Source organism: Homo sapiens, chromosome 6 (assembly GCF_000001405.40).
Source record: "Homo sapiens chromosome 6, GRCh38.p14 Primary Assembly".
NCBI classification, from domain to species: Eukaryota; Metazoa; Chordata; class Mammalia; order Primates; family Hominidae; genus Homo; species Homo sapiens.
This window is the reverse complement of record NC_000006.12, coordinates 33,063,954-33,091,235: the sequence shown is the minus strand read 5'-3', so window position 1 is coordinate 33,091,235 and position 27,282 is coordinate 33,063,954. Positions and strand designations below refer to the sequence as shown.

General features: G+C 43.3%; 2 protein-coding genes and 1 pseudogene across 5 annotated transcripts; 1 reads left to right on the top strand and 2 right to left on the bottom strand.

The window, feature by feature from the left end:
* On the bottom strand, positions 1,540-15,246 carry HLA-DPB1 (major histocompatibility complex, class II, DP beta 1). Its single transcript, NM_002121.6, has 6 exons — positions 15,095-15,246; positions 10,301-10,564; positions 6,005-6,286; positions 5,347-5,457; positions 4,994-5,017; positions 1,540-4,697 (listed from the first exon to the last, which is right to left on the bottom strand). Exons 1-5 carry the CDS (start codon positions 15,192-15,194, stop codon positions 4,998-5,000), a joined length of 777 nt encoding a protein of 258 aa, NP_002112.3. The 5' UTR covers positions 15,195-15,246; the 3' UTR covers positions 1,540-4,697; positions 4,994-4,997.
* HLA-DPA1 (major histocompatibility complex, class II, DP alpha 1) lies at positions 10,488-26,667 on the top strand. Of its 4 annotated transcripts, none has more exons than NM_001242525.2 (6): positions 10,488-10,556; positions 17,643-17,765; positions 21,350-21,595; positions 21,936-22,217; positions 22,432-22,598; positions 25,889-26,667. In NM_001242525.2, exons 2-5 carry the CDS (start codon positions 17,666-17,668, stop codon positions 22,584-22,586), a joined length of 783 nt encoding a protein of 260 aa, NP_001229454.1. In that variant the 5' UTR covers positions 10,488-10,556; positions 17,643-17,665; the 3' UTR covers positions 22,587-22,598; positions 25,889-26,667. The 4 variants fall into 4 exon arrangements, with proteins under 4 accessions (NP_001229454.1, NP_001229453.1, NP_291032.2 ...); NM_001242524.2 differs by having other exon boundaries at positions 17,567-17,765; NM_033554.4 differs by lacking the exon at positions 10,488-10,556 and having other exon boundaries at positions 17,587-17,765.
* Positions 11,327-11,838, bottom strand: RPL32P1 (ribosomal protein L32 pseudogene 1; annotated as a pseudogene).

Sequence of the window (27,282 nt, the reverse complement as noted above, 5' to 3'; positions counted from 1 at the left end):
CTCAAAGGCAATCCACCTCATTTCTTTGAAATATATATGCTATAGATTTTTGGTTCACTACCTTTAACATGTCATGAAATTGATTAAATTCTGTCTATGTCTTGAGCTGAATTCAGTTTAAATTAATATGAATTTTGCGGAGTCCACTAATGTGTTAACCACATTATATATTTTCTGACACTGAAGAATCATTGCATTCCTAGAATAAATCTAAAATTGGTCAAAACGTATTGTTTTTATAATGTACTGTTGGATTCAGTGACATGGCTAAAATTAGTCCACAATCCTGTTCTCCTGTACTATTCTTAGCTGGCTCTGGAAATATAAATGAACCAACCTCATAAAATGATCTCAAAAATTCTGTTCCATTCTATGTTCTAGAATCACACGTGTAAGAGGCATGATCTGCTCCTGGAAATGTGGGAGGACACCCTCATCTGCAATAAGATCAGGACAGGGCCCTTTGGAAGGCGATTCTTTGCTTCCCATGACAATTTCTTTGATATTCTCTACTCTATTTTAGTTTTCTATTTCTTCCTGTAGTTTTGACCTTTATATCTTTCTAGAAACGTATCCGTTTTATCTAAATTTTCAAATTTATATGTATAGAGTTGGTCGTAAGATTTTGCATTTTAAAATGTGTATAAATGTCATTTACCCTTTTCGTTCTGAATCTCCTGTATTTTCCTTAGGAGTCTTGCCAGAGGTCTCATTAAAGTTTTCATTGCCTCAAAATTTGATTTTATCTTCTCTATTTTTATATTTCATTGAATTCAGCTTTTGTCCTTATTATTTACATGTATTTTCTTTTTGCTGTTTTTCTGCTTTTCCATCCTCTTAATTCACATAATTAGCTCATTTGTTTACAGTCATTTTACTCTAACAAAATTGTTTAACAGTCTGACATTCTATGCAGCATTTTGAATGAACTTATTTCATCTTTCTATAAAGACTAAACATCTATTATGTTTTCAGTTATTTCCTCTTCCTCCACTATTTCCCTGACTTTCTAGACGTCTAATTATTAAGATGTCAGATGTCTGTTTCTATCCTTCATTTCTCTTCACTTGTCCTTTACATTTTCTATTGTTTACTCGATCATATTGTCCTTGGGACAGTTTCTCAGTTTGGCTTTTTGTTTATTAATTACACTTCAGTTGCAAAAGTCCTATTTCTTGTCTCATTTATTATGTTTCTTATTCCAATCTTTATCAAAGCTCAATATTTGTGCTTGATTCAGTGGCTTCTTGCTTTTGCTTCAAATTCCCAAATTCTCCTTTACTTCTCTATTTAAGCCCTTTCTATTGTGAACTAGGGGACATTTGGAAGAAACACACAAACCAATAGAATGTACGTTGAATGGTTATCACCGCAAGCACCCATGTAACTAGTACCCGGGTGAAGAAATAGACTGTTGCCAGCATCCCTGTGCCCCTCCTTAGGCCAGGAGGTAGTGTGTAAGCTTTTCAGGAGCCAAAGGCTGCTGATATCCATAATGCCTAGCATTGCTCCTGGTACACAGTAGGTCCTCCATAAATATCTCTTGTAGAAGTATTTTATTATTTATTTAGTGTGTACTTCTTAAATGTTTTCCACCTTCAAGTATTCCCACTTATTTGAAGTTAGTTGCAGCCATATGATTTACATTGGAAAATGAAATGCGAGAAGTGTGTTCTTTCTAGGAGGGATCATTAAAAGCCAGTGAATAAATTCTTAGGTTCCCTTCATTCTGCTGGGGAGGTTCTGGGAGCAGATGTGCAGGAGAAAGACTGTCAGCCTGACTTCCTGAGTACGATGATGAGCAGAGCTTCCTGCATGACTTACTTTGGACGTGTAACATGAGCCAAACCTGGATATCTGGGTATTTGTTAGTTTAGCACAGCTGATCCTATTCTTACTGTGTAAAAGAAATTGAAGAGAAGGTGCTCAATGAGACTTCAGAGAAGCTGAGAGACAAAAGAACTAGGAGGATGTTTCATCCCATAAGCCAAGTGCACAGTAATTTCAGGGACAGTTTACAATGCAACATGCTCAAAAGGCATCAACTATGGTAAGTGTTCACTGGCCTGGTAGCAAGTGGTTATTAAAACCCCTTTCAAGAGCATCTTCACACCCGATGCCCAACTCCCACCTCCTTCCACTTTCACCATCCCCTGGCTCGGCCTCACTGCTACTTGACAAATGGGGACAAAGAGAGGGTGAGATGATTTCTTCTTAGGGTACCCCTTGATAACCATCTGAGGCAGTGTTGTCTGTTGGGTGGACCACCTTCTCGTTAGGGAACTGTGAGGGGTAGAAAATGAAGGGACCAGGTGGAAAGGGATGGAGGATACAACACTCAGCTGGGAGTCCTAAGCCCGCCGGGTTTTTTCTTCTGCAGGTATCAATTTTTCTGAGTCAGAGGTTGAGTCACCCACTTCACATCTCCTTTAAAGCTCCAGTTCCAACTTTCCTTTGAATCTCTGCTCTTCAACTCCAATGACTGATGTACCTCAAGACTCCTCTACCTCCTGGCTGCCTTTGATCCTGCTGCACATAGCACTCAGCAAAGGGCCTGACTCTTAGAAAACACTCTATCAATATTGAAAATTTGAAGTCTAGTGACAAGGTGGTCCCAGTTTGGATGGTCTCTCAGCTCTTGTCTCCTCTGGGACCTGTCTCTGCACTGCATCCTTCCTTAGAAATCCCAGAGTTTCATAAACACCTGCATATGTCAGAGTGAGACACATCTGATACCTTCTTTCTGTGACTCCAGGGACATTCCTCATCTCCTGACACCCTCAGTTCCCTAGGAGCACATATCCTGTTCCTGTAATGTGGGTGCAGATACCTCAGCTTCTGATCCTGACAAGTGTTAGTCCAGAGATTGTTCACTCCACTCGGGGTACTGCCCTAACCTGTAACATGAGTACAGGAGACAAGCAGGAAAGAGAATGACTCTGACTGGATATGGTTTGTAATTTGTAATGTTAACTGCTCAGTGACTCTGAGGGTAGGATTTATGTGCTCTGGGTCTGAGGATTTCATAATGATCTCGATTTGAAGACTTTCTGCTATTCTCATGACCTCCTTCCATCGTTGAATCCCTGGATTGAAATCATATTAATTTTATGCTGCATAGGTTTCTCACAAGTTTCCTGTGAAGCCAAAAGGGAAAATAAGACAGATAAAGGGTCCTTATTTACTATATACTGTCTTCCTTAGCTTATTATGTGACAGCTGAAATTACTACGCAAAAACAAGTCAGCAGCATTTTCCTTTATAGTTTTTGAGGAAATGAGGCTGATCAGGGATAAAGATGTTTTAAAAAGAAAAAATGATTGTGTCCTATTCCCTAGGTTAAGAAGATTATGAGAAACATGATTGGTTGTCCTTGTGTGTGGCTTCTCTTTCCTGACTCCCTGACTCAGTCCAGCCTCTCTGCAGACTCCAGCTGTATTTACTTATATCTGTGCCAGTGACGCCCAAGTCTGTGCCTTCAGCCCCACCTCTCCTGAAATTGGAGGAAGCCGGTCCCCCGATGGAAGATATTATTTGCAAGGGGAGATGGGCAAGAGGAGCACAGTAGCTTTCGGGAATTGACCAGGGACAGGTGCCCAGGGACACACAAGGCCCAGAAGATGCTTGTAAGAAGCCAGGGAGACTGAAGGCATCAACTGGATGTATAAGAGAGCTGCTGTGCACTGATTGTGTGTATCAGGAGTGAAGAATCCATCCTCTACACGAAAAAGAAAGCTTACAACAAACATGTCCTCTACCTTGACCAAAAGGTGTCAATATGAGACGCAAAACACATAACAATGTTGGATTGTTAAGAAAAAAAAAAAGACCAGTGTTTGAAAAAGAGTGCTACATGTATTGCTTTGCTCTTTCCCCAGTGGGGAGTCATTTCTGTCTGTATGAAAATTAAGACAGGAGGCCTAGGCTGGTGGATGAATGCAGACTTAGACGACAAATGACGTCTATTGGATGCATTCAAAAGTCCAAGCCGTATTTGGTTAAGGAGTATTTGTGATGGCACACAAAGAAAATGGTTAAAGTGTATTAGATTATATTTATGATTTTAAATTCTGATGTTCATTTAACTTCTTAATGGTAATGATAAAACATGCTCTCAGTAAGGTATATGTTGAATTAGTGCTGTGGGAATATGGGTCCTATCAGGCAGATTTGCAGTCTGCTCACCATTGAATAGTTAAGAATAGTGGTCTGAGACATAAATGGATGAGGGCACTAAACTTGATTTGGGGGCAGCTCACTGAAATACAGTCAATTCAGAAGAGTGTCATGTGTAACAGGCCCCATTATACAATAGTTAACATATCCCCATTTTCATGGTTCTCTTCTTTCCTATGTTTAAACCAAAATGAACTTCTTTATTAACTCCTACTGTCTACTAAAACCCTCAGAGAAAAGTGATGAGAGATGATTTGGTGCATATTTTTAAAGGAAAACAAACAGTCATGTTGGGTTTTGATTATTTGTGGTGCTAAGAAGAAGGGAACATGGTTGGAGGCCCAGTGAGAGAAACAGTGCTTTGAATCAAAGAGCAGAATGATAGAAACTGACTTCAGAGCAACTTCTTGGCAGCAGTATCCAATTTGGAAGTTGAAGGTCTGTCCTGGAGCCAGATGCTAACGAAACACAGCAAATGCTTTTCCTAAGGCACAATAGTCTTTTCAGTGAGCTCAGGAACCCTGTGGGGGTAAAAGACAAGTTATCCCAGGTTGCCAGCCTCCTTCCTGTAAGTCCAGGAGAGAAAAATTATGGTGAGAGGATGCGTCTCAGGCTGATAAATAACAGAGTTGATCTCTGCTTCCTTCAGCAATGGAGCCAAGCAATGCTCTTTCCCCACTTGCCTGAAGGCTGACATTGAAAGAGGGGTTCATGCCTGAGATTCCCTTCCTGGAGGAGCCTCAGTGTTACAATGCACAGAAAGGACTCATATCCTCCTGCAACCCACCCCACAAGGAAATCAAAGCAGGAATATTACCTGTTTATGCAGATCCTCGTTGAACTGAAATGAAAGACGAAAGGTTATATAATCAGCCATTGAAACCACCTCAGATAATTAGAGAAACATTTCCATCCCACCAAATTCCATTGCCCATCACTCAATGGACGCTCCGCAGGAGCCTGAGTACTTGGGACCTCATGCATCTGGCTGCATTAAGATCCCAGCCTGGGATCCCTCTCTCGCTATAGGTCATGTTTGTTCCCCGATTATCTGATATCAGTGGCCTCTAGAGCTTTCTGACATTTCTTTTCTGTCAAACCCCTCATCGTGGAATAAGTGTGAATATGCCAGGGGAAGGTAAGTCCCGCTCACCCTGCAGGCTTTCTCACCTTTCTTGCTCCTCCTGTGCATGAAGATGCCCACTCCACAGATGATGAGCCCCAGCACGAAGCCCCCAGCTCCCGTCAATGTCTTACTCCGGGCAGAATCAGACTGTGCCTCTGGGAAGGACAGACCCAGGTTTAGTGTCACCTCCACCAGCTGCATCCCTACTCATGTCCTGTCTGAGATTCTGGAGCCTGATGCAGCATATCGGGATGAGGACAGTGCAGCGGAAAAAGCTTGCTAAGAGGAAATTCAGAAAGAGCCACCCTCATATCTGGAACAGGGGTGTGACCTCAACAAGGTGGCAAATGCTGATTCTGGAAGTTGCCTCTCAAAATGCCTGAGAAGAGGCTAAAATGCTGAAGGAAGAGAACTGTTCCTATGTGTGAGGTCAGTTCCTAAGTGTGAGGGTTTCGAGACCAGTCAGTGTCCCTAGATTCTCTGACAAGGGGGAGAACTATGAATCTTCAGGAACCCCTAAGCCAAGGTCAGGAAGTCTCCATTTCCCTGGCTTCAAACTATGCTCAGGAGCTGGTATAGAAGAAAGATGGGGTTTGGACATGGCCCCAGGGTATAGATGCAGAAGATAAGATGAGTGGACCCCAGAGCCAGAGAGTCCCCTGCTCTTCAGAGGTGGGGTCTAGAGGGTCATCAGAGACTCACTCCACTCCACGGTGACAGGACTATCCAGGCTGGTGTGCTCCACTTGGCAGGTGTAGACATCTCCCTGCTGGGGGGTCATTTCCAGCATCACCAGGATCTGGAAGGTCCAGTCTCCATTACGGATCAGGTTGGTGGACACGACCCCAGCTGTTTCCTCCTGTCCATTCAGGAACCATCGGACTTGAATGCTGCCTGGGTAGAAATCCGTCACGTGGCAGACAAGCAGGTTGTGGTGCTGCAAGGGCCCCTTCTTGGAGGGGGAAACATTCACCCTAGGCTGGACTAGGAGCGTGGAAGAAAAATAATGAAATAGAATTTGAGATTGTCCTTCTTTCCTTCCTTCCTTCCTTCCTTCCTTCCTTCCTTCCTTCCTTCCTTCCTTTTTTTTGAGACATAATCTCGCTCTTTCTTTCTTTCATTCTTTCTTTTTGTTGAGATGGAGTGTCACTCTGTTGCCAAGTCTGGAATGCAGTGGCGCAATATTGGCTCACTGCAACCTCCACCTCCGGGCTTCAACCAATTCTCCTTCCTCAGCCTCCCGAATAGCTGGGATTATAGGTGCCTGCCACTTCACCTGGCTAATTTTTGTATTATTAGTAGAGACAAGGTTTCTCCATGTTGGTCAGCCTGGTTCTCTAGGAGCACTTGACCAACGCCTGACCTCAAGTGATCCACCCGCTCGGCCTCTCAAAGGGCTGGGATTACGGGCCTGAGCCACTGCATCTGCCCAGATTATTATTTCTTAGGCATGTTCACTATGTAATTGATTCCTAGATGTTGAAAATAGGAATAATGTGATTAGGCTAGTGGGTAAGGGTAGCATTGAAAAGATAGAAATAGACCTTCAAGTAGAGCATGCATGATCTTGAATAAAATAATAGTTAGTAAGTATATAGCGGAATGGCAGGGAGACAGAGTTTGCACTCTGTAGCACATTTAGGAGAAATTTTAACCAAAAGTAATTTGGGCAAAGAATATTTGATCAACTGTGAAATTACCTACCTTTTCAAAGTTCTATCTTGATACAAAGGAAGCAAAATTTACTCAAATAATATCTTGAAATTAAGATATACAGACAATGGCATTATGGTGGCCTGTGAATCTAATAACTTCATGAAAATACAAAGAAAATGAAGAGAGCTTTACATGTCTTATTCTGTAAAAAACCTATGTATTTTTTTACCTCACCTACAAAAACTCAAAATCTTCATATTTACAGAATATCCTGAGCTCCTACATGCTTGAGTAGTAGAAATCCCGTCCTTTTTCAAGTTCCTCCTCTGTGCTGCGTCTTCAGGTCCCATGAAGGTCTCACAGATGACCAGGTGTTGCCTCCCTCTGCATCTTTGCATTTGTGCCCCAGCTTGTCCTGTTGTTCTCAGGTGAATTTCCACACTGCCACTGGCAACTTTTCTTTTGGATCTCTGCCACCAGTACCTTTTTCCTCCTCAGAAAGCAGAAAAGGCCAGGCATGGTGGTCATGCCTATAATCTTAGCACTTTGGGAGGTTGAGGCATGAGGATCACTTGAGCCCAGGGTTTTGAGACCGGCCTGGGCAACATAGTGAGAACCCATCTCTAAAAAGAAAAATAAATTAGCCAGACATGGTGGTACGTGTATCTGTAGTTCTAGCTACATGGGAGGCTGAGGCAGGAGGATCACTTGAGCCCAGGAGGTTGAGGCTGCAGTGAGCCATGATGGTGCCACAGCACTCCAGCCTGGGAGACAAAGTGAGAACCTGTCTCAAAAACAAACACAAACACAAAACAAAAAACAAACACAGAAAAGGGTCAAGTGCTCCTAGAGAACAGTTCATTCAGGGAGATCCACTAGAGAACAGCTCTTTCAGAGGACTACCCTAGAGAACAGCTCATCAAGAGGAATGTCTCAAATTAGTCTTCTAGGTCCCTAATCACTCAGTTCTTTCCTTTCTACTTCCTGGAGAACACAAATACCCTAACATGGCGCTGGGCCAGGTAAAAGTACAGTCTTGAACTGACACACAACCCTTACTCCCTATTGTATTTTTGCCTTGTTTTCAGACTGATCCACATTGTCAGCCTCTTCCCTCAATGTGAGTTTATTTCAGGGGCACCTGTGTCTCACTACTTCATTACCTCGGTTAACTCAATGTCCATTACACTATTCAACTTATGTCTAAATCTCAGTTGTGAATTACCTACAATTTCTTCCCCATAGAGCTTCTGGGAACCATGAAATCAGGGGGAATACTTGGGTATCTGTTTTAAGGTCCCAGAACATTCCACGAGAGGCATCTTGCTCAATATTCTTTGACAGGAGCAGGTCAGCCTGGAGCCACATCAGTGACCTCCAGGGTGCGCTGGAGTTAAGGCCTGATACCCAATGGCCTCATTTCTGACCCAGTTCAAATACATTTCACCAAGGCAAGGATTCCTGTTTGTTCTAGTTGCCTTCTCTAATGCCCAGAAAACATTTGCTCAATTACTTCTAGATTTGGGTGGACATCCACCCTGGAATTGTCACTACTTCTTTCCTCCCCCTTCCACCTCTCCCTTGCCTCTGTGTTTTCCCTGTTCTAACTCATGCCTTGATTGCAATTTCCCTGACAAATAATAGCAGTTTCCTACCTCATCTCCCTGCCTCTGGTCCCTCCTCTAGCCAGCACCCTTAGTAGTCTTCTGAAGACACATCTCCAACCTTCTCTTTTTCATTTTTCAAAAATCTTCAGTGTTCTGACAATACTTATCTGGCTACATGGGAACCTCTAGGGAGCTGATTACAAGCAGAGATCCCCAGACCTCCCCACCCAGGGAATCTGAGTCTGGGGGCACTGAGTCTGGAGATCTGTGCATCACAGAGGATCTCCAGAAGAGTCTTCAGAGGAGTGAGGTTGGGGACCTGCGGGCCTGGAGGAGAAACCCACACTCCTTAGGCTGGCATCAGGGCTGTCTGCAATCTGGCAGTTGATTACTGTGAAAGAAAATGCTGCCATGTCACTGATTGGTGCCTCTACAAAGTCTTAGTAACAGTTTTTGCCAATTGCGTTATTTTTATTTGAACACCTCTCTCAACCAATTACCTCAGCAACTTTCCTAAGCTCATGTCACTCACCTCATCCCCACCCAGTGTGTCCACCTTCTCACTCATAGCAGGTGAACTTCCTTTCACTTTCCAGGAACAAGAAAATCAAAGGTGTGATCTCCCCAGCTTCCTCCTCCTCCTCCCTTCATTTTTTTCCTCTTTCTAGAAAAAAGGTCCAGGGCTCAATCCCACATCCTGATACTACTCCCTCAAGTCCCTCAGGTTGGTGCACCAGGCTCCCCACCCCACAAGTTCACAGGAGGAAGCCAAAGCTCCAAGGCCTTCCTGTCCCATCCTTGAGAAATCCTCTTACTGCACACACCTCACCTCTCTCCATCCCTTTACACCCAGACTTCCTGAAGGAAAAAGACGAATGAACTGAGACACTGCCCTGTGACAGCCGTGGGGAACCCAAGACAAGTAAAATCCATCTCAGCCCCGAGGAGGATGCGCCACACTCAGCCTCATGCACCCCCTCCCATTCCAGCTCCTGCCGCTGCGGCCAACCTGCTCTCCCCAGGTCTCCCTGGTTTCCAAACCCACTTTCCATCTTCTGTTTTCTGACCTTCCCAAGTCACTGGCACCGCTGTCCACTGTGCTGCTGAGGTCACCTCCCCTCAGCTTCCAAGACTCTTCTCTGCGGGCCTCTCCTCACACTGCACTTGGGTTTTTTTGGTCTCTTTCACAGGCTTTTCTGTCTTGGCCAAATCACAACTGTCCAGTTCCCAGGATCCGGTCCTTTGCTCTTCCCCCTGGGTCCCCTCTCCCTGGATGGTCTCATGTATCTCAGTCTCCTCCCCGGCTGCAGACCCTTCTGTCTACCTGCCCATCAGACCACCCATCTGCCCCTCAAGCACCTCAAACCCAGCTACCTCCCTGTAGGTTTCTTCTCTGTGTGGCCTGCTGTGCCATCTCCACCTCCATCTCCACACCATACCCTTGTGCGCTGTCCTGTGGCTTCCTTTTTTCACCCCACATGCAGTCAGCTGCCAGGCCTGATGAAGTCCCGGGGGTCTCTCTGCTCTCGTCCTCCTCACTCCATGCTCAGCCCAGTCCAGGTCCCCGCGCTCGCTCCCCTGACAAGCTCCAGATGGGCTCCCCCCATGAATCCCCAACCCAAAGTCCCCTTTCCGCCCGGCACTAAGGTCCCTTAGGCCAACCCGGCTGCTCCTGCGCCCTGGGCACGGGCCCGCGGGGCTGCCCTGGGACCGCCGGCCCAAAGCCCTCACTCACCTCGGCGCTGCAGGGTCATGGGCCCGCCCAGCTCGTAGTTGTGTCTGCACATCCTGTCCGGCACTGCCCGCTTCTCCTCCAGGATGTCCTTCTGGCTGTTCCAGTACTCCGCAGCAGGCCGCCCCAGCTCCGTCACCGCCCGGAACTCCCCCACGTCGCTGTCGAAGCGCGCGAACTCCTCCCGGTTGTAGATGTATCTCTCCAGGAAGCGCTGTGTCCCATTAAACGCGTAGCATTCCTGCCGTCCCTGGAAAAGGTAATTCTCTGCGGGGAGGGGGCGGACATGAGCGGAGGCGCCACTCTCATCTAATCCTCTTTCTCCCTCTCTCTCTCAATATTAACGATTCTTCCCAAATCTTCCCACCCAGGGCTGGATTTTAAAATAGGAGTTTTCCTAGTACCGAGTTCTGTGGTCCTAAGCGGGTCGCAGAGCCTCTCCAGGCCTGTTTTCTCACCACGCAGAGAGAGAATTTACTGAAAAGAATGAGCTCAGGGGCACTGAGTGATCACTAGGGAGGGGCGAGCACTGAGGGGAAGGCAGTCCCTTCTGCTGGTGGCTGGAGGAGGCGGAGACGTTTCACGTGGGGTCACTGGGAGAAAAAACAGGGGCGGGAGGAGCTGGGGACGTGGAGGGCGGAGCTGCTCCCCCTACTTAACTCCCTGACTGACATTTCCATCCTGATGTCAGTCCTGGTTCAAATGCCACCTCCTCCAGGAAGCCCTCCCTTCCTTCTTTCTCTTTTCCATAGCTAAGCGCTCTCTCTTCTCGACCAGTTTCTTGAGAATTCCTCAACTTGCTCCTGTTGTTTTGCATGTAGGAGATGTAGAAATATATTTCTTAAAACTTTCTTCAACTTTGGTATAAGAAAGACTCTGTAGCCTGAAAGTTAATTTTCAAACATGGCTGCAGAAAGACTTGGTGTCAAAAGATGTGGAAAGTATTTTACACAATGAAAATCACCACAACAACCAGGGACCTGTGGGGGTAGAGTCCTTTGGGTTTAGAGGCATTGATGTAATTTTTTTTGGCAGTTTTTATGGTTTTATTTACACACAAAACGTGGACATGAACTTTCTACTCATTTTCTTAGCTGTGCACCCTGGTACTGGGGTTGGTGACTCTGATGGCCGGCTGGGTGACTCTTTCCATGATGACTTTGCAGTTCTGGAGGAAATTTTGTGAGCGATCTCAGCACAGTAAGATTTGTTGCACATCAGCAGCACTTTCAGCTCCTTGAGGCTGTGGACCAGAAACTTCTGGAAGCCACTGGGCAGCATGTTTTTTTTGTTGTTGTTGTTGCTCCCATAAGCAATGTTGGGCATCAAGATCTGGCCCTTGGACCTTCTACGAACCCTACTGTTAAGACCTCTGGGTTTCCGCCAGTTATGCTTAATTTTGACATTTCAGTCTGATTGGTGCCTCATGAACTTGTTGGTCCTCTTTTTGAGGATCTTATCCTTCATGAGGAGTCTGAGGGAGGCCATGATGTGGAGGAAGAGATGGCTGCCAGCTGCATAGGCAGCACCGAGGAAGACAGCATTGATGTAATTTTTACATGAACAATTTTGGCAGCCTTTCCCACATGCTGTTCTTCCTAGGGAGTGCCATGAGCAGTGTCTGGCAGGTGTGTGTCTACACAGAATTATCAGTGACACGGCACATGTTTGTTTCTGTTTGAGTATCTTCAGGCCTGCTCTGTTCTTGGGCACACTGGGGAAATTAAGGTGCTGTGATTGTTCTGCTCATCTGTTTCATGCTCCACAAATTAACTTCTCCAGTTTATTAACCTCACCCCTAGCAGAAGTTGCACAGCTGGTGGCAGAGGATAGTGGAGATGGGGTAGGGCTGGGCTCAAGGGCACCATGGAGTCCACCTTTAGTCTCCAGTGTCATTGCTAAGGCAAGATCCCAGGTCTTGACTCAGATATCCTGACCTGCCTCTTCTCCTGGTGCCTTGGGCCCCAGACCCTAAAATTCCAGGCCCAGAGCCCCCCAGCTCCTTGAGTCCAGATTCCTCCTCCTCTGCCATCCATCCGCCCCTGCCTGTTCAATTGCCCCACTCTGAGTGTGGATTCTCCCATTTTCATTTGTTAGTCTTTGTTTCTCCTCCTCAATCACCAGTAAGAGAACGTTTTTCATTCAAGAATAAGAATTTTGAATTTTTTCTTTGCAACATTTAATTTTTTTAATTTACCCAGTCTTAGGTAATTTTTTAAGTACATTTAACTTTTGAAATGGAATTTTACCTGCCAAGTAGACATAAGCAATGAGGGGTTTTATGGTGTAATTTGAAACCTTCATTTTTTTTTGTATATAAGAAACTTTATCCTGTTTGTGGAACCCTTAGCAATTGAGTTGCCCAGAGCACGGTTTGAAACCACTGATCTGAATGAATTCGTCTCTTATTCAGAATAGGATATATTAAAAACCTCTAGCTCCCTATGGGTTGTCTCAGCCAAGCTTTTCTCCCCCAGCCTCTTTAAGCTATAGCCTGGCTCCTCAGCCCTTTGGTCTTGTGCCCTGTTTGAGGTTGGGGATGTGTGTGGAGTTGGGGGAGCATGCAGGGAATTGTGGAATCAGCCCTGCCCACTTTACCCACTCCCCTATGGCTCCAGCTCTCCCTCCAGCAGGTTTTGATTGAACATTCATTCTACGCAGGGAGCTCCAGTAATCTACCCTCAGTCCCTGTCACATGGCTCCACTGCCTCATCTCATTCCCCCTACAAACCTCAACCCAGCCTTTGCCCGTCCTCCCTTTCACTGCCCAGCATCACATGCCCCCTTCTGCTCTCTGCTCCCCCACCTCTGGGTTTCCTTGGTGGCTCCCAACACTGTCCCTCATCCCACATGACAGCTCTGCCTATGGGATGGGGGCGCTGCATCCGTCACTTCCTCCTGACACTGTTCAGTGTCACCAGTGCTGCTCCAGCCTCCTCTCTCCCCAGCCTCACCCCTCTGCAGTTCCCAGGGCTGAGCCGTCCTGCTGGTTAGTTCTCAGCACCCTTCTGTGACTACAAGTTCAAGTTCTCCTCCCCTTCCTGGACAATGAACCCAAGGTAATAGATAAGAGGTTTTAGGGCTTGAGGGGCTGTATTCAGGAGATTCCAACCTTGCTACCCTGAAAGATGAGGAGGTGACATGATGTCAGTACCTTCTAGGTGTGTCCTAGGAGGGGTGTGGAGAGGTCTAGGAGGAAGGGTGTAAGCAGGAAAAGTGGAAGTCAGTGGAAAACTAAGGTACCTACTTTGCAGTCCTTCCTCTCAGAGTGTTGGTGTAAATTTGGACTAGAAATGTCCTGAGAGTACAATGGTTGAACTAGTTTACAGTCCCACCAACAGAGTAAAAGTGTTCCTATTTCTCCACATCCTCTCCAGCACCTGTTGTTTCCTGACTTTTTAATGATCGCCATTTTAACTGGTGTGAGATGGTATCTCAAGACAGTGTGGCAATTCCTCAAAGATCTAGAACTAGAAATACCATTTGACCCAGCCATCCCATTACTGGATATATACCCAAAGGATTATAAATCATGCTGCTATAAAGACACATGCACACATATGTTTATTGCGGCACTATTCACAATAGCAAAGACTTGGAACCAACCCAACTGTCCATCAGTGATAGACTGGATTAAGAAAATGCACACATATACACCATGGAATACTGTGCAGCCATAAAAAAGGATGAGTTCATGTCCTTTGTAGGGACATGGAGGAAGCTGGAAATCATCATTCACAGCAAACTATTGCAAGGACAAAAAACCAAAGACCACATGTTCTCACTCATAGGTGGGAACTGAACAATGAGAACACATGGACACAGGAAGGGGAACATCATACACCGGGGCCTGTTGTGGGGTGGGGGGAGGGGGGAGGGATAGCATTAGGAAATATACCTAATGTAAATGACGAGTTAATGGGTGCAGCACACCAACATGGCACATGTATACATATGTAACAAACCTGCACGTTGTGCACATGTACCCTAGAACTTAAAGTATATATATATATAAAAAGAAATATCCTGAGAGTATCCTGAGAGAAAAACAATGGATCATAGATGCCATAATATTACACCAGCCACAGGGAGGCAGCAGGAAGAAGAGATTTTTCACTTGGTTACTGCTTCCTTGGCTGTCTGATAACCTACACTCAATCCCTGTCATGCACCCACACAACCTCATCTCATTCTTCCTACAAGTCGCAACCCACTCTAGTACCCTAACCAAGTTCTGGGGAGGCTGGGAGAAGTACCTTTAATGAGAATGCCTTCAGGGGCTAAAACCTATCCCCCTCCCTCCCTTCTCTCCTTAATTGTCCAAGGGATGTGGGCTCCTGCTCCACCCTGGGGAATAAGAGGCATTCTTCGTGAGCACTGAATCCTCAGTGATCCTCAGAGCCTGGACACTCCAGCTTAGGGCTCTCTGCCTGAGTCCCCTCCAGGCTGGATGCAGACATGAACACGCCCAGGAGCCTGCACTTGCCAACTTCTCTCTCTGCAAACCTTGTCTGTCCAAGGTTATCCAGGACCTCTTGGTCCCATTTTCCCCAAAGACACTGACCACTGGGCACCTCTCTCTGTTTACTGTACCCATGTCCTTGGAGAGAGAATAGGCCAGTAGGGTAGCAAGCTATCCTATAGGGGATGAACCTCTTTCTCTAGCTGGGAAGAGAGGACACTGCCTTAGGGCAGGAGCCCCCGCAGCCTGTCTCAGAATTTGATCCCTTAAAGATAACGTCCCCTAGGAATTGTTCCCTGAGCCAGACCCTCCAAGAATGGCAGTTCGGCTCTTACCTGGAGTGGCCCTGCCCTGGACCACAGATGTGAGCAGCACCATCAGTAACGCCGTCAGAGCCACTGTCCGGGGGGCCGCAGAAACCTGCAGAACCATCATGGAGCTGGAAAAGGATGGCAAAATGAAAAGAGCTGCAGTCAGGAAAAGAAGGACTCGCTAAAGGGAGCTCCTGTTTGAAATATTAGAGACCATGAACCCAAGTAGTCTTCTGTGACCCTGGGATTGGACAGAGTCTGAGAAAAGAACCAATGGACACTGAGCTTTGTATGAGTCATTGCTCACTAGGCAGAAAGTTAGTATGAAAGGTCTGAAAATATAAAGCCTGTGATGCACTTAAGATGACGGAGGAAAGACAGTGATACTCATTTTAACCAGTCAGATAAGTCATGATGTTTGGGGAGATTATGCGTTTTCTTTGCTCTGAAGGTGATCTCAAATATTCTGCTGGCCCATCTACAGGGATTATCATTTCCCCAATTCTGCCACACCTCACACACCCACAGGACATGGTCTGTTGTGGAAAAAGTGCTATCTTAGTGTGTAAAAGGTCATTCAGTGGCATGACTTAGAGGGATTAGAGTACCCATCTCAGAACTCAAATGAGGTCTGAGTCTGTCTGTCTTGCCTTTGTCCAAGGGTGTGTTTAAGATTAGCACCCATTCATATTTACTTTCTCCCAGAGGTCTGTGAGTCCTGCGATGTGCAGGAGTTACCAGGTTCTTCCACAGGACTGTCATCAGGGTCAGGAGGGCTCAGTCTAGGGACCTTACACTGGGAGCGTGGACACACCACCTACCCTACCATGTAAATATGCAGCTTTAACGACACTGCCTCTCTTGGACTTCGATTCCTTGTCTTCAATATGGGGATGATATAACCTGCCTTATAGCAAAGCTCTTAAGATCAAATGAGATCAATAGGTCTGAAATTGCTTTGGAAAAATAAAGTCCATAGAGAATATAAATTGACTGGTAAATAAGGAAGAAAGTGAAAAAAAATCATCAAAGACCCCACCTCCTTCAAAGCATCTGATTCTATTTTGTTTAGAGTGAATATTTTTACAAACTTTCAAAGAACATTACTTCTTACTTTAGACACTTATAAATGTGATCCTGTTGGACCACCAATTCTAATTTCAAAAAAAATCAAATTGGCATCATTTCTTTAAATCAATATTAAAATGTAAATAGAAGGCTAGCATGTAAAATGCAAGAGAAGAAAATAATTATGTAGTAGAAGGTGTCTAGTAGGATTAAGGGGCCAGGAGAGGATTGTGGAGAAAAACTCAGTTTTTTTAGTAACTGCCTGGGTGGGACTTTTCTCCTTGTCATTTACCTGCCATAGATAATTAGACAAATACTTCCTCGATGTCTCAGGTAATTTATTTTTACAGTAGACATTAATAATACCTCCCTCAGGTTTAATATGAGGTTTAAATGAGGTAATGCATGCAAAGCACTAATAACAGAATCTCTCATGTCCTAATCTGTTAGTAATTATTATTTATGCAAGGTAAGGCTACCACAAATAAGATAAAATATTAACGTAATATATGTACTTCATCATTACATTAAATAGTAAATGTTTTGTGACCTTCTCTATGAGTATCAAATAAATAGCTCAAAATTGAAATATTTAAAATGAGACTAGAAAAGTATTTCTTAAATATGGTAAAGAGAATATAAAATAAAAAATTAACATTACCTGTAACAGAAAAACATTAGAGAAACCCTTCTTAAAAACAAGATCAAAATATGGGCGCACATTGTTACCACAGGTAATGCTGTCCTGGGTATTCTTATATGAAAATGAAATAACAAGACTAGTAATTTAAAGATAAAAATGTTATTACACTGTTTAAATACCAGGAAAAATCAAATACTAAGAAATCTGAAAAATAAAAATTATCTAGAAATTTCACTAACAAAGGTAACCAGGAATAGATAAACAATTAAAGATCAACTTCATTCAAGTTAATTAAAACCTCTAAATAGAAATTATAACACTTCTGCAGAAATGATTAAATAAAAAGGAGGTATCTCAGGGAGGTGGACCTGAAAGAAAGATTAATTATATATTTTATTAGATAGCACATTCATTCTTAATTATCAGCAGAATATTTTTGTAAAATATTGACAACATAACATAAAACATGATTTAAAATATAGTGACCAAAAAACATCAAAGATCATCTGACTGTCTGGGATGGGGGTGGGGCTCGGGAGAAGGAACATAATGGAAAACATTTGCCGTCAGAAGAAGGTGTAACTTATCTTTTTACATCTCTTTCTCTAACTCTGAAAATGAACTGTGAACTGGAGCTCTCTTGACCACGCTGGTACCTAAAATTCTCCCATCTCTTCCCCAGCACCTTCCAGCGTCCTCTTTACCCAGCAACAGAGAATGTCAGCTCTATGATTTCTCTGATAGGTGAATCCCAGCCATGCTGATTCCTCTCCACCCATTTCCAGTGCTAGAGGCCCACAGTTTCAGTCTCATCTGCCTCCACTCGGCCTCAGTTCCTCATCACTGTTCCTGTGCTCACAGTCATCAATTATAGACCCCACAACATGCGCCCTGAAGACAGAATGTTCCATATCAGAGCTGTGATCTTGAGAGCCCTCTCCTTGGCTTTCCTGCTGAGTCTCCGAGGAGCTGGGGCCATCAAGGGTGAGTGCTCAGGAGGACGCAGGAGCGTCGGGGTGAGTGATGGGGTGGTTCACATCAATTGCTGCTTCAGGGATCACAGATTTTAGGGGCTCATTGATCTATCTGGTCCTCATAGTCTATGTTCCCTCTGGCCCTCATAATAATAACAGCAATAACAGCCAGAATTTATGAGACTCCTGCATAGTTTCTTTCCCCATTTACATCTCACAGGAATCTTCAATGAAGATAATATTCCATTCATTTAGAAATTATTCCTTTTATTTAGAAATTATTTTGAAAAAACTGAAGCTCAAAAAGATGAATAAGTTTTCCAAGGTTACACAGCAGATCAACGAGCCAAGTTTGAAGTCCAGACCCAGCTCTGAGGGTCATACACTGCCTTCCCCAGATTCCTGCACACAGTGACCTACTATCAGGGCCCTCCTATCTCTCTGGGATCCCCAGCCTCTATCTTTTGTGGCTGCTTTACAGGAACTCCGAGCTATGGACTCTGCATTAGGAGACGAAGTGCAAAGAGTGTTTCTGTATCCTCCCTCTCTTCTAGGACCCTAGGGCTCTTCCTGGGTCTTTGTGGGTGGTCACAAGCTTTCCTCTCTCAAGACAGCAGGGTTGCATGGTCTTGATAGCCTTGTGATTCGGGTTCTGAGAGATTCAGGACTGCAAGGGAGGCCTAGACTTTTGATAGCTGCAAGGACTCAGCCAGAGATGGACCGTAGTGAATGCTCCTTTTTCCTGTAGCTGAAATCAGGGAGAATGACATCAAGCCTGTGCATGATGCTGTCATTCCAAAATCTAGTGATGGGGAAGGTTAGAATCCATAACGTACAAGATGCACACTGGCTTCAGACAGTTTTATTTAAGATGTGTAGAATAAAGAGGAGGTCAGGCTGGGTAGAACCAGAAGTATCTATTGCCCTGTTCGCGGTCACCTGAGTTATTTCTAATGTTATGTTATAATAAACACCACAATAGGCTTCTCTTCATAGATGCAAATACTTTTTAGTATTCTTGGTAGAAATTCCTAATGAGCTCAGCTGTCTCTTCAGGGCTTCCCTGCCCAGTCTCTTAACATTTAAACATGTCATTTACCTTAAAAACATAAGTGCAAACCAACTGATAAAAAACAACCTTGCCTTCAGTCTGCATCCTGTCCCAGAGACACTTTCTTTGTGTCCTCACACGTGGAGCTAAGCTTCTGACTTGTCTCTGGTACATCCCTGAGGATCCTCTCATCTTGGCCATCAGGAACCTCTACAGAAGGTCAAATTCAGTGGGTTCTTCTCAGTGCCTCTGACTTGAGTTACTAATAACATTTGCACTATAATCCACTTCTTTCTGATGAACTACCCTGTCCTTATTTTTCTCCTGTTTACCTGGATCCTCCTTATCATCTTTTAAACCACCTCTTAACTATCATGTTCTCTCATTATACCCTGAGATCTCGGCAATTCTGATTTTTGGCACTCTTCCTGGAAAATCTTATTTAACCTGCACCTGCCACTAATGACTCTCAGTTCTATGGCCTAAATTCCTCTCCTGAGACCACCCATAATCCACAAATATCTATGTATTATTTCTCCTTAGATGACTTTCAGGTCTTCTAAGTGCAATAGCCCCACAGTAAACTCAGTATCTTCTCCCGGTCAGGCTGTCTTCCCTGAGAGAAGTGGCTTTTGCCCTGTTTTCTGAATGCCTACATTGAAGCCATCTGTTCCCCAGGAAGCCTTCCCTGATGTGCTGTTTGGTCGCATCTTGTGTATACCTACGTATCTGCACTTATCCTTCTGAACCTGCTGTTGTCCTGTCACTTGTGTTTCCTTCTGTGACTTATACGCGTCTGCAGAACAGGACGTATGTATTATTTTTATTTGGGTATTTAGCATCTAACAGTGTTTGACATATAGTAGTCTTTTAATACATATTTTTGTCTGAATGGAAATGATATTTTGAAGAAAAATAATCTGTTCCATAGCTGGCTGATCTTTGGACTGCAGAACTTGTGAAAGTGTTTTTTAAAAAGCATTTTAAAAAGTACAAGGGACATTCATGTATTAAGAAGATGAGTTTCCAATAACTGCTAGAGGACTTTGTGTCTTTTTATTTTACCCTCTTTTTCCTGATGAGTCCTTTGAGTCCTTTAAACTGAGGAGCAAGCTAAGTTTCCTAGTGAAATACCTATAGGATTTGTTTTGTTTAGTTTCAAATACCACTCTTTGCTTGGCCACTTACTGTGTCAGGGAGTCATTCTCAGTGAAAAATAAGACACAGGTCATACCCTCTAGACACTTACAATTACAGTGGCAAGGAGTCATTCTCCTGTCACTGTAAGTGGCCAAGCACAGACTGGGTCCCCACATGTCAGGGCTGAAAACTCACAGGGAAATCTGTGAGTTGGGAGGTGAGAGCAGAAGAGTCCCGTAGTTCCTTCTCACTCTGATGCATTTATCATTCTAAACCCAGACTTTCACATACACATTCATCGTTTTCTTTCATGATAATAGTTGCTTTTATCCTCTTATCTTTGCTAATTCTTACAAACTAATAAAGACTAAGAAACAAAATAAATTAAATCCTACAGGTGTTCCAAACTCAGCAATAATTTCTAGTTGGCCTCTAAAACAAAAATCAAAATATAAATGTAAGAAAAGTTTAGAATGCTTAGTACCTGTGTGATGAAATAATCTGTACACTAAACCCCCAAGTCATGAGTTTACCTATACAACAAACCTGCACATGTACTCCTGAACATAAAATAAATGTTGAAATATTTTTAAAAAGGAAACAAAAGTTTGGAACAAATGCCAAAATAACTGTACTGTACTTTTGAATTTATATGCCCCAAATGAAAAATATTATCAACAAAGCTATACATTCTACAGTTTCATGTTCATAAACTAAGACAGAAACTTTAAAACTGTCAAGAGCCCTAAAATTTGAAGGATATTTTCTTCTTCCTCTCAATTTTGTATTTTTTTCTACCTTTTCTATAATAAGAAAAAGAAAATGTCCATTCCCCCACCCCCATGACTCTAAAAACAATTTTACATCTGTGTCATAGAAAAATTAAGATCTTAATGGGAGAGAAAACCTCTCTACTAGTTCCGCCAGTAGCCGTATGACCTTAGCAAGTTATTAATATGTAACTTCCCTGCATTTCCTTACCTGTAAAATGTATGATATGTATTTGCTTCATAGGGTTATTGTGACAATTCAGCGAGTGAAATATGTAAAGTATTTAGAAGGATGCCTGGCACAAGTAAGTGCTCAACAAATGTTAGCTGTCATTGTTACTATTACTATTGTGTAGGGTCAGGATGCCCAGACTTTCAAAGACCAGGAAGCAGCTTGACTTATCAGTGATAAACTTTTCATTTTGTTCTTTGCTCCTTTCTTTTTATAACTGCTCATCTGCTCTGTATTATTTCCTTTATGGTGTTGCTCCTTCTTCTTCCCCATATGTCCTTCCTTTGACCTCTTACCTTCTTCCTTTTTATATTCATAAGTCTTTATTCATTCTCTAGCTTTGACCACTTGCATATTCAAACTGACATTTTGTCGTGTTTTTCTCTACTGTCTTTATGCAGCGGACCATGTGTCAACTTATGCCGCGTTTGTACAGACGCATAGACCAACAGGGGAGTTTATGTTTGAATTTGATGAAGATGAGATGTTCTATGTGGATCTGGACAAGAAGGAGACCGTCTGGCATCTGGAGGAGTTTGGCCAAGCCTTTTCCTTTGAGGCTCAGGGCGGGCTGGCTAACATTGCTATATTGAACAACAACTTGAATACCTTGATCCAGCGTTCCAACCACACTCAGGCCACCAACGGTACGCCCTATCTTTGCCTCTTCCTCTGTAGCCCAACTGGAAGGGATGAGAGGGCCTCTCTGCCACCCTCAGACTAGGAAGCCTAAGTGCCCCCTGCTGTGTGATCCTCTTCCCCTAGTGGCCATGGGCTGATCCCACTACAGCAAGGGCTTGCATCCTCTCTTCTCAGGAGAGAGAAAGGTGAGCAGAGTGAGGCTGGTCAGTGGTGTGATACCCCTCTCTGTGATTCAGAGCTGCCATAAAATCTAAGGCTGAGGTAGAGGACCACCCTCCCCTAAGAGGTGGAGCCTTTGTGATTCATCCCAGAAGAGGGGCCTAACCTGGTGCTGTCTCCTTCCAGATCCCCCTGAGGTGACCGTGTTTCCCAAGGAGCCTGTGGAGCTGGGCCAGCCCAACACCCTCATCTGCCACATTGACAAGTTCTTCCCACCAGTGCTCAACGTCACGTGGCTGTGCAACGGGGAGCTGGTCACTGAGGGTGTCGCTGAGAGCCTCTTCCTGCCCAGAACAGATTACAGCTTCCACAAGTTCCATTACCTGACCTTTGTGCCCTCAGCAGAGGACTTCTATGACTGCAGGGTGGAGCACTGGGGCTTGGACCAGCCGCTCCTCAAGCACTGGGGTATGCAACTGCTTTTCTCTCCATAATCTCCTGGCATCCTCTATTCCAAAGACCTGGTGTCCTCTGCACCAGCTTTCCGCACTGGCTGGGTCTCAGTCCTCTCCTCGTCCTAACATCCAATTAACTGGTCCATAACCTTCAATTCCCACAACCATCCCAGGCCATCACCACCCTCACTGCACCTCCTGACCCTATCTCTTCATTCTTCCCCCAGAGGCCCAAGAGCCAATCCAGATGCCTGAGACAACGGAGACTGTGCTCTGTGCCCTGGGCCTGGTGCTGGGCCTAGTCGGCATCATCGTGGGCACCGTCCTCATCATAAAGTCTCTGCGTTCTGGCCATGACCCCCGGGCCCAGGGGACCCTGTGAAATACTGTAAAGGTGGGAATGTAAAGAGGAGGCCCTAGGATTTGTAGAATGTAAGGAAGGGAGGAAAAATTCAATCTGATAAGTGTTCATTGATCTTCTAATGGGTTAAAAGCATTCAGCCACATAACAACAACAACACCGATAACTAACTGAGTAGTTAATATGGTCAGGCGCTATTCTGAGGATTTACATTTATTAACTCACTTTATTCTCACACATAGTCTTTGAGGTAGGTACTATTATTTTCACTATTTCACATGAGAGATACTTACATCTTTTTACATACACAGAGACTTTAAGCACTTTGATCAAGTTCCCACAGCTATGAAGTAGTAGGGCTAGCTTCCAATCCAGAAAGTCTGGATCCAAGACTGTTTATCCACTGTCCTATTCACCCTATTTTGTGAAGGAAAAGACCAAGTTCAAATTCTCCAGAGTCCATTGCCAAATAATGGAGTCAGATCTATATTTCTATACATAATTACAACACAGTGTGGTGGGTGCCTGTAACTACTTACTGTCTCTACTTGGACTCATTCCATGGCAATGTTCACACAAAAAATGCCCCTCCAGAGATCTTACAGGTTTCTATTTATCATAACACTCACCATGCTTTATATTTTTATATGTTTTGGGAATTCTCTTAGCATTAGACAGTGAACTTCCATGCAGATGACCACATCTAATTCATTATTATTATTGTTATTCATGCTGGACCTCAGGTACAAAAGGTTAAGAACTTCTCAGTTCATTATATGATCATCATTGGTGCCTCCGAGCTCTCTCTCTCTCCCTTGATTTATTTGGTCCCTTTTATCTCCAGTCCTTACTCCCATATCTAACCTCTTACCCCTACCTCATAGGTAAACATTTTAATGAATTTGATGTTTCCTTTTATTTGCATAGATCCTCTGTAATATGTAGTAGTGTCCAGTGTACATGTATTTTTAATTAACCAAAATGGCATTAAATTATAGATCTAATTTTGTACATCCAGTTTGTTTCTTCCAAATCTTCCATAGTATTTTACTTTATATGTCCATGCATTAGTCCATTTTGCATTGCTATAAAGGAATATCTGAAGTTACCTAATTTACGAAGAAAAGAGCTTTAAATGGCTCACAGATCTGCAGGCTGTACGCGAAACATGGCACTAGCATCTGCTTCTGTTGGGGGATTCTGGAAGCTTTTACTCATGGTGGAAGGCAAGTGGAGCCAGTGCATCACATGGTCATAGAGGGAGAAAGAGACATAGAAAGAGGTGCCAGCCTCTTTTTAACAACCAGGTTTCATGTGCACTAATAGAGTGAGAACTCACTCATTACCCGGAGAGGGGACAAAGCCATTCATGAGGGTCTCCTCCATGATTCAAATACCTCCCACCAGGCCCCACCTGCAACACTGGGGATCAATTTTCAACATGAGACTTGGAAGTGACAAATATCCAAATCATATTAATCCACATATCTACATTGCTCCTGGGATACCTGGATCATTCCTGGTTCTCTACTATTGCAAGCAATGCTTGTATCTCACATGGAACTGCATATACATGTGGGCCTGACCTGCATCCCTGGAATGTATGTATCCTAGAAAGGGGTTGCAGGGTTGCTGGAGATGCAGCTCCTTAATTTGACTAAACACTGCTCATCTTCTCATCAGAATGGCTGTACTCATCTGAACTTCCTTTGTCAGTACTCTAATTGTCCTGCAACTCCTAAATGGACTTCAACACTGGACATTATCCAGTTTTCTAACTTTTGCCAATTTCATGTGCATAAAGAAATATGCTGTTTTATTTTGCATTTCTTTAATTACTAATAATTGGGGCTATAATTAGGACTGATTAGCCACTTGGGGGTTCCTTTTCTATAAATTGCCTGTTCACATTCATTGTCCATTTTTGTACTATGTGCTTCCATCATTTTCTTATTGATTTGCAGGTGATCCTTATATAGTCCTGCTAGTAGTCCCTTGTCAGTTTTAGGCATTGCAAATGTTTTCCTCTAATCTGACTTCTGGCAACTGTCTCCTTGGTTTCCTTTATTGAAGAGAAATCCTTAATATTTTGTAATGAAGTCCATCAACTGTATTTTTGTTTGTGTGTCTTTTTTAAAAGAAGTCTTCCCTATACTGAGATATCAAAGATACTCTTAAAACATCTCCTACAGTTTTAAATTTCACATTTACTACTTTAATTCATCTGGGATTCATCTTTGTGTTTGATGGGGATCATGTTTTATTTTTCTTTATATAATGGGCCAGTGTGTTCCCACAACTACTAAATAGTTCACCTTTTCCCCATAGGTTAGTAGTGTCTCCTTTGCTATACTGAAAGCTCCCATTATAGGTGGGCCTGTGTCTGAGTTCCATCTTGTTCCACTGTTCTGTTTGTCTCTTCTTGTGCCAGTGTCCTAGTATTTTGATTACTATGACATTGTAGTGTGTGTTAGTATCCAGTAGGACAAATTCTTGTTTATTTTTCTTAGTTCACACACATTTATAATTATATCTATAATGATTTGTAACAGAGTGAAGTGAATGTAGAATGTCAGATGTTAAGAGGAAGAATGGAAAAGAGGGCTGGGACTAGGGTGATGTAGGGGATGCACCTGGCTTAGGTGCAAAATTTGGGGGATACCAAAAGAACTCAGTAATAAATCATATTTTAATGAAATATCTTGAAAAGGCAAAATTAATGCAAAGATACATGATTAACAAAACATCCAAAGAGGAGTATTTAACAAAAATGGAGAAGCAGAGAAGCAGAAGAATTAGGAGAATATGCTGTCACATGAGCCAAGGAATTAAAGAATTCAGGAAGGAGGAAGTACTGCTGTCAGATGTTCAACAGAGGTCATTTTAGAAAATTTACCTTGGTTTTTGAAATCCTTTCAAAGAGCAGTATACACAATGTGAGCAAGTATCCTTCGTTCATTGCCGTCATTGATATGGTTTGGATATTTGTCCCTTCCAATTCTCATTCCAGGGTTAAGCTTCTTCTCTGCCCTCAGTAATGTGGCCCTTCCCCTTGTCTGTATATTTTGGAGACATGAAGCATGTGGGATGGCCTCACAGTCAGCTGGGGTTTGAGGGTGAAATTCAATGACTTTCGTGAACTCCTTGGCTCCTATGTGCTCTTCACCTGGAGGACCAGGGCATGTGCAGGGATGACCACCTTCTCCCTGGGACCTGAACAGGGCAGAGAAATGGGAAGCTCGGGTGCAAAGGGAGTGGGGAAGATGGGTCCGGGCTTACAGTACTGAACCCAGGAATGACAATAACTGTGTGTGTTGCTGCAGGTGACAAAATATCTGAACAGAAGAGGACTTAGGAGAGATCTGAACTCCAGCTGCCCTACAAACTCCATCTCAGCTTTTCTTCTCACTTCATGTGAAAACTACTCCAGTGGCTGACTGAATTGCTGACCCTTCAAGCTCTGTCCTTATCCATTACCTCAAAGCAGTCATTCCTTAGTAAAGTTTCCAACAAATAGAAATTAATGACACTTTGGTAGCACTAATATGGAGATTATCCTTTCATTGAGCCTTTTATCCTCTGTTCTCCTTTGAAGAACCCCTCACTGTCACCTTCCCGAGAATACCCTAAGACCAATAAATACTTCAGTATTTCAGAGCGGGGAGACTCTGAGTCATTCTTACTGGAAGTCTAGGACCAGGTCACATGTGAATACTATTTCTTGAAGGTGTGGTTTCAACCTCTGTTGCCGATGTGGTTACTAAAGGTTCTGATCCCACTTGAACGGAAAGGTCTGAGGATATTGATTCAGTCCTGGGTTTTTCCCTAACTACAGGATAGGGTGGGGTAGAGAAAGGATATTTGGGGGAAATTTTACTTGGATGAAGATTTTCTTGGATGTAGTTTGAAGACTGCAGTGTTTGAAGTCTCTGAGGGAAGAGATTTGGTCTGTCTGGATCAAGATTTCAGGCAGATTAGGATTCCATTCACAGCCCCTGAGCTTCCTTCCCAAGGCTGTATTGTAATTATAGCAATATTTCATGGAGGATTTTTCTACATGATAAACTAAGAGCCAAGAAATAAAATTTTTAAAATGCCCTAATTCATTGCAATTTTTACCAGCCATAGTCACTCCATGTGGGAGAACTTAAATCATGATTACCAGAGCTTTCAAAGGTTTGAGAATAGTGATGATTATGAAGAAAAATATCTTATTTGAGCAAGGATTTTGTTTCTTTATGAGTGTTCATTAGATATTACGATGAAAAAAGCATGAAATGGTAAAAATTCAGATAAATATAAAAACATGTTCTCTAGTTTTTTTTAAGTTAAAAAAGGAATTGTTTAAAGTAAAAATTATTTGGGGGTTTATAACATACCCAGAAGTAAAATATGATGACAATGGCACAAAGAATAGAAGGGAGAAATGGAAGTATAATGTTGTAAGTTTCTTATACATGTTAAGTGGTGTGTTATTATTTGAAGGTAGAATGTATTAAGATGAATATTTTAAGCTCCTGATAACTATTGAAAAAAAAAGAGGTATAGCCAAGAGGCCAATGGAGAAGATAAAATAGAACACTAAGCATAATTAATTCAAAATAAAGAAATAAAAAAGGGAAAGTCTGGTAAGACAAAAAGAAAACAAACTGTAAGATGGTAGAGTTTAAAACAACCATACTAATAATTGAATTAAATGCACATGGCCTAAATATTC

Bases quoted from the DNA above. Each gene is read 5' to 3' on its own strand.
- HLA-DPB1 (NM_002121.6), bottom strand. From the start codon at position 15,194: ATGATGGTTCTGCAGGTTTCTGCGGCCCCCCGGACAGTGGCTCTGACG. The intron at 10,565-15,094 runs GTAAGAGCCGAA...CCCTCCCCGCAG, and splicing joins CCAGGGCAGGGCCACTCCAG to AGAATTACCTTTTCCAGGGA. The intron at 6,287-10,300 runs GTGAGTGAGGGC...CCACGCTCCTAG, and splicing joins CATGACCCTGCAGCGCCGAG to TCCAGCCTAGGGTGAATGTT.
- HLA-DPA1 (NM_001242525.2), top strand. From the start codon at position 17,666: ATGCGCCCTGAAGACAGAATGTTCCATATCAGAGCTGTGATCTTGAGA. The intron at 17,766-21,349 runs GTGAGTGCTCAG...GTCTTTATGCAG, and splicing joins AGGAGCTGGGGCCATCAAGG to CGGACCATGTGTCAACTTAT. The intron at 21,596-21,935 runs GTACGCCCTATC...GTCTCCTTCCAG, and splicing joins CCACACTCAGGCCACCAACG to ATCCCCCTGAGGTGACCGTG.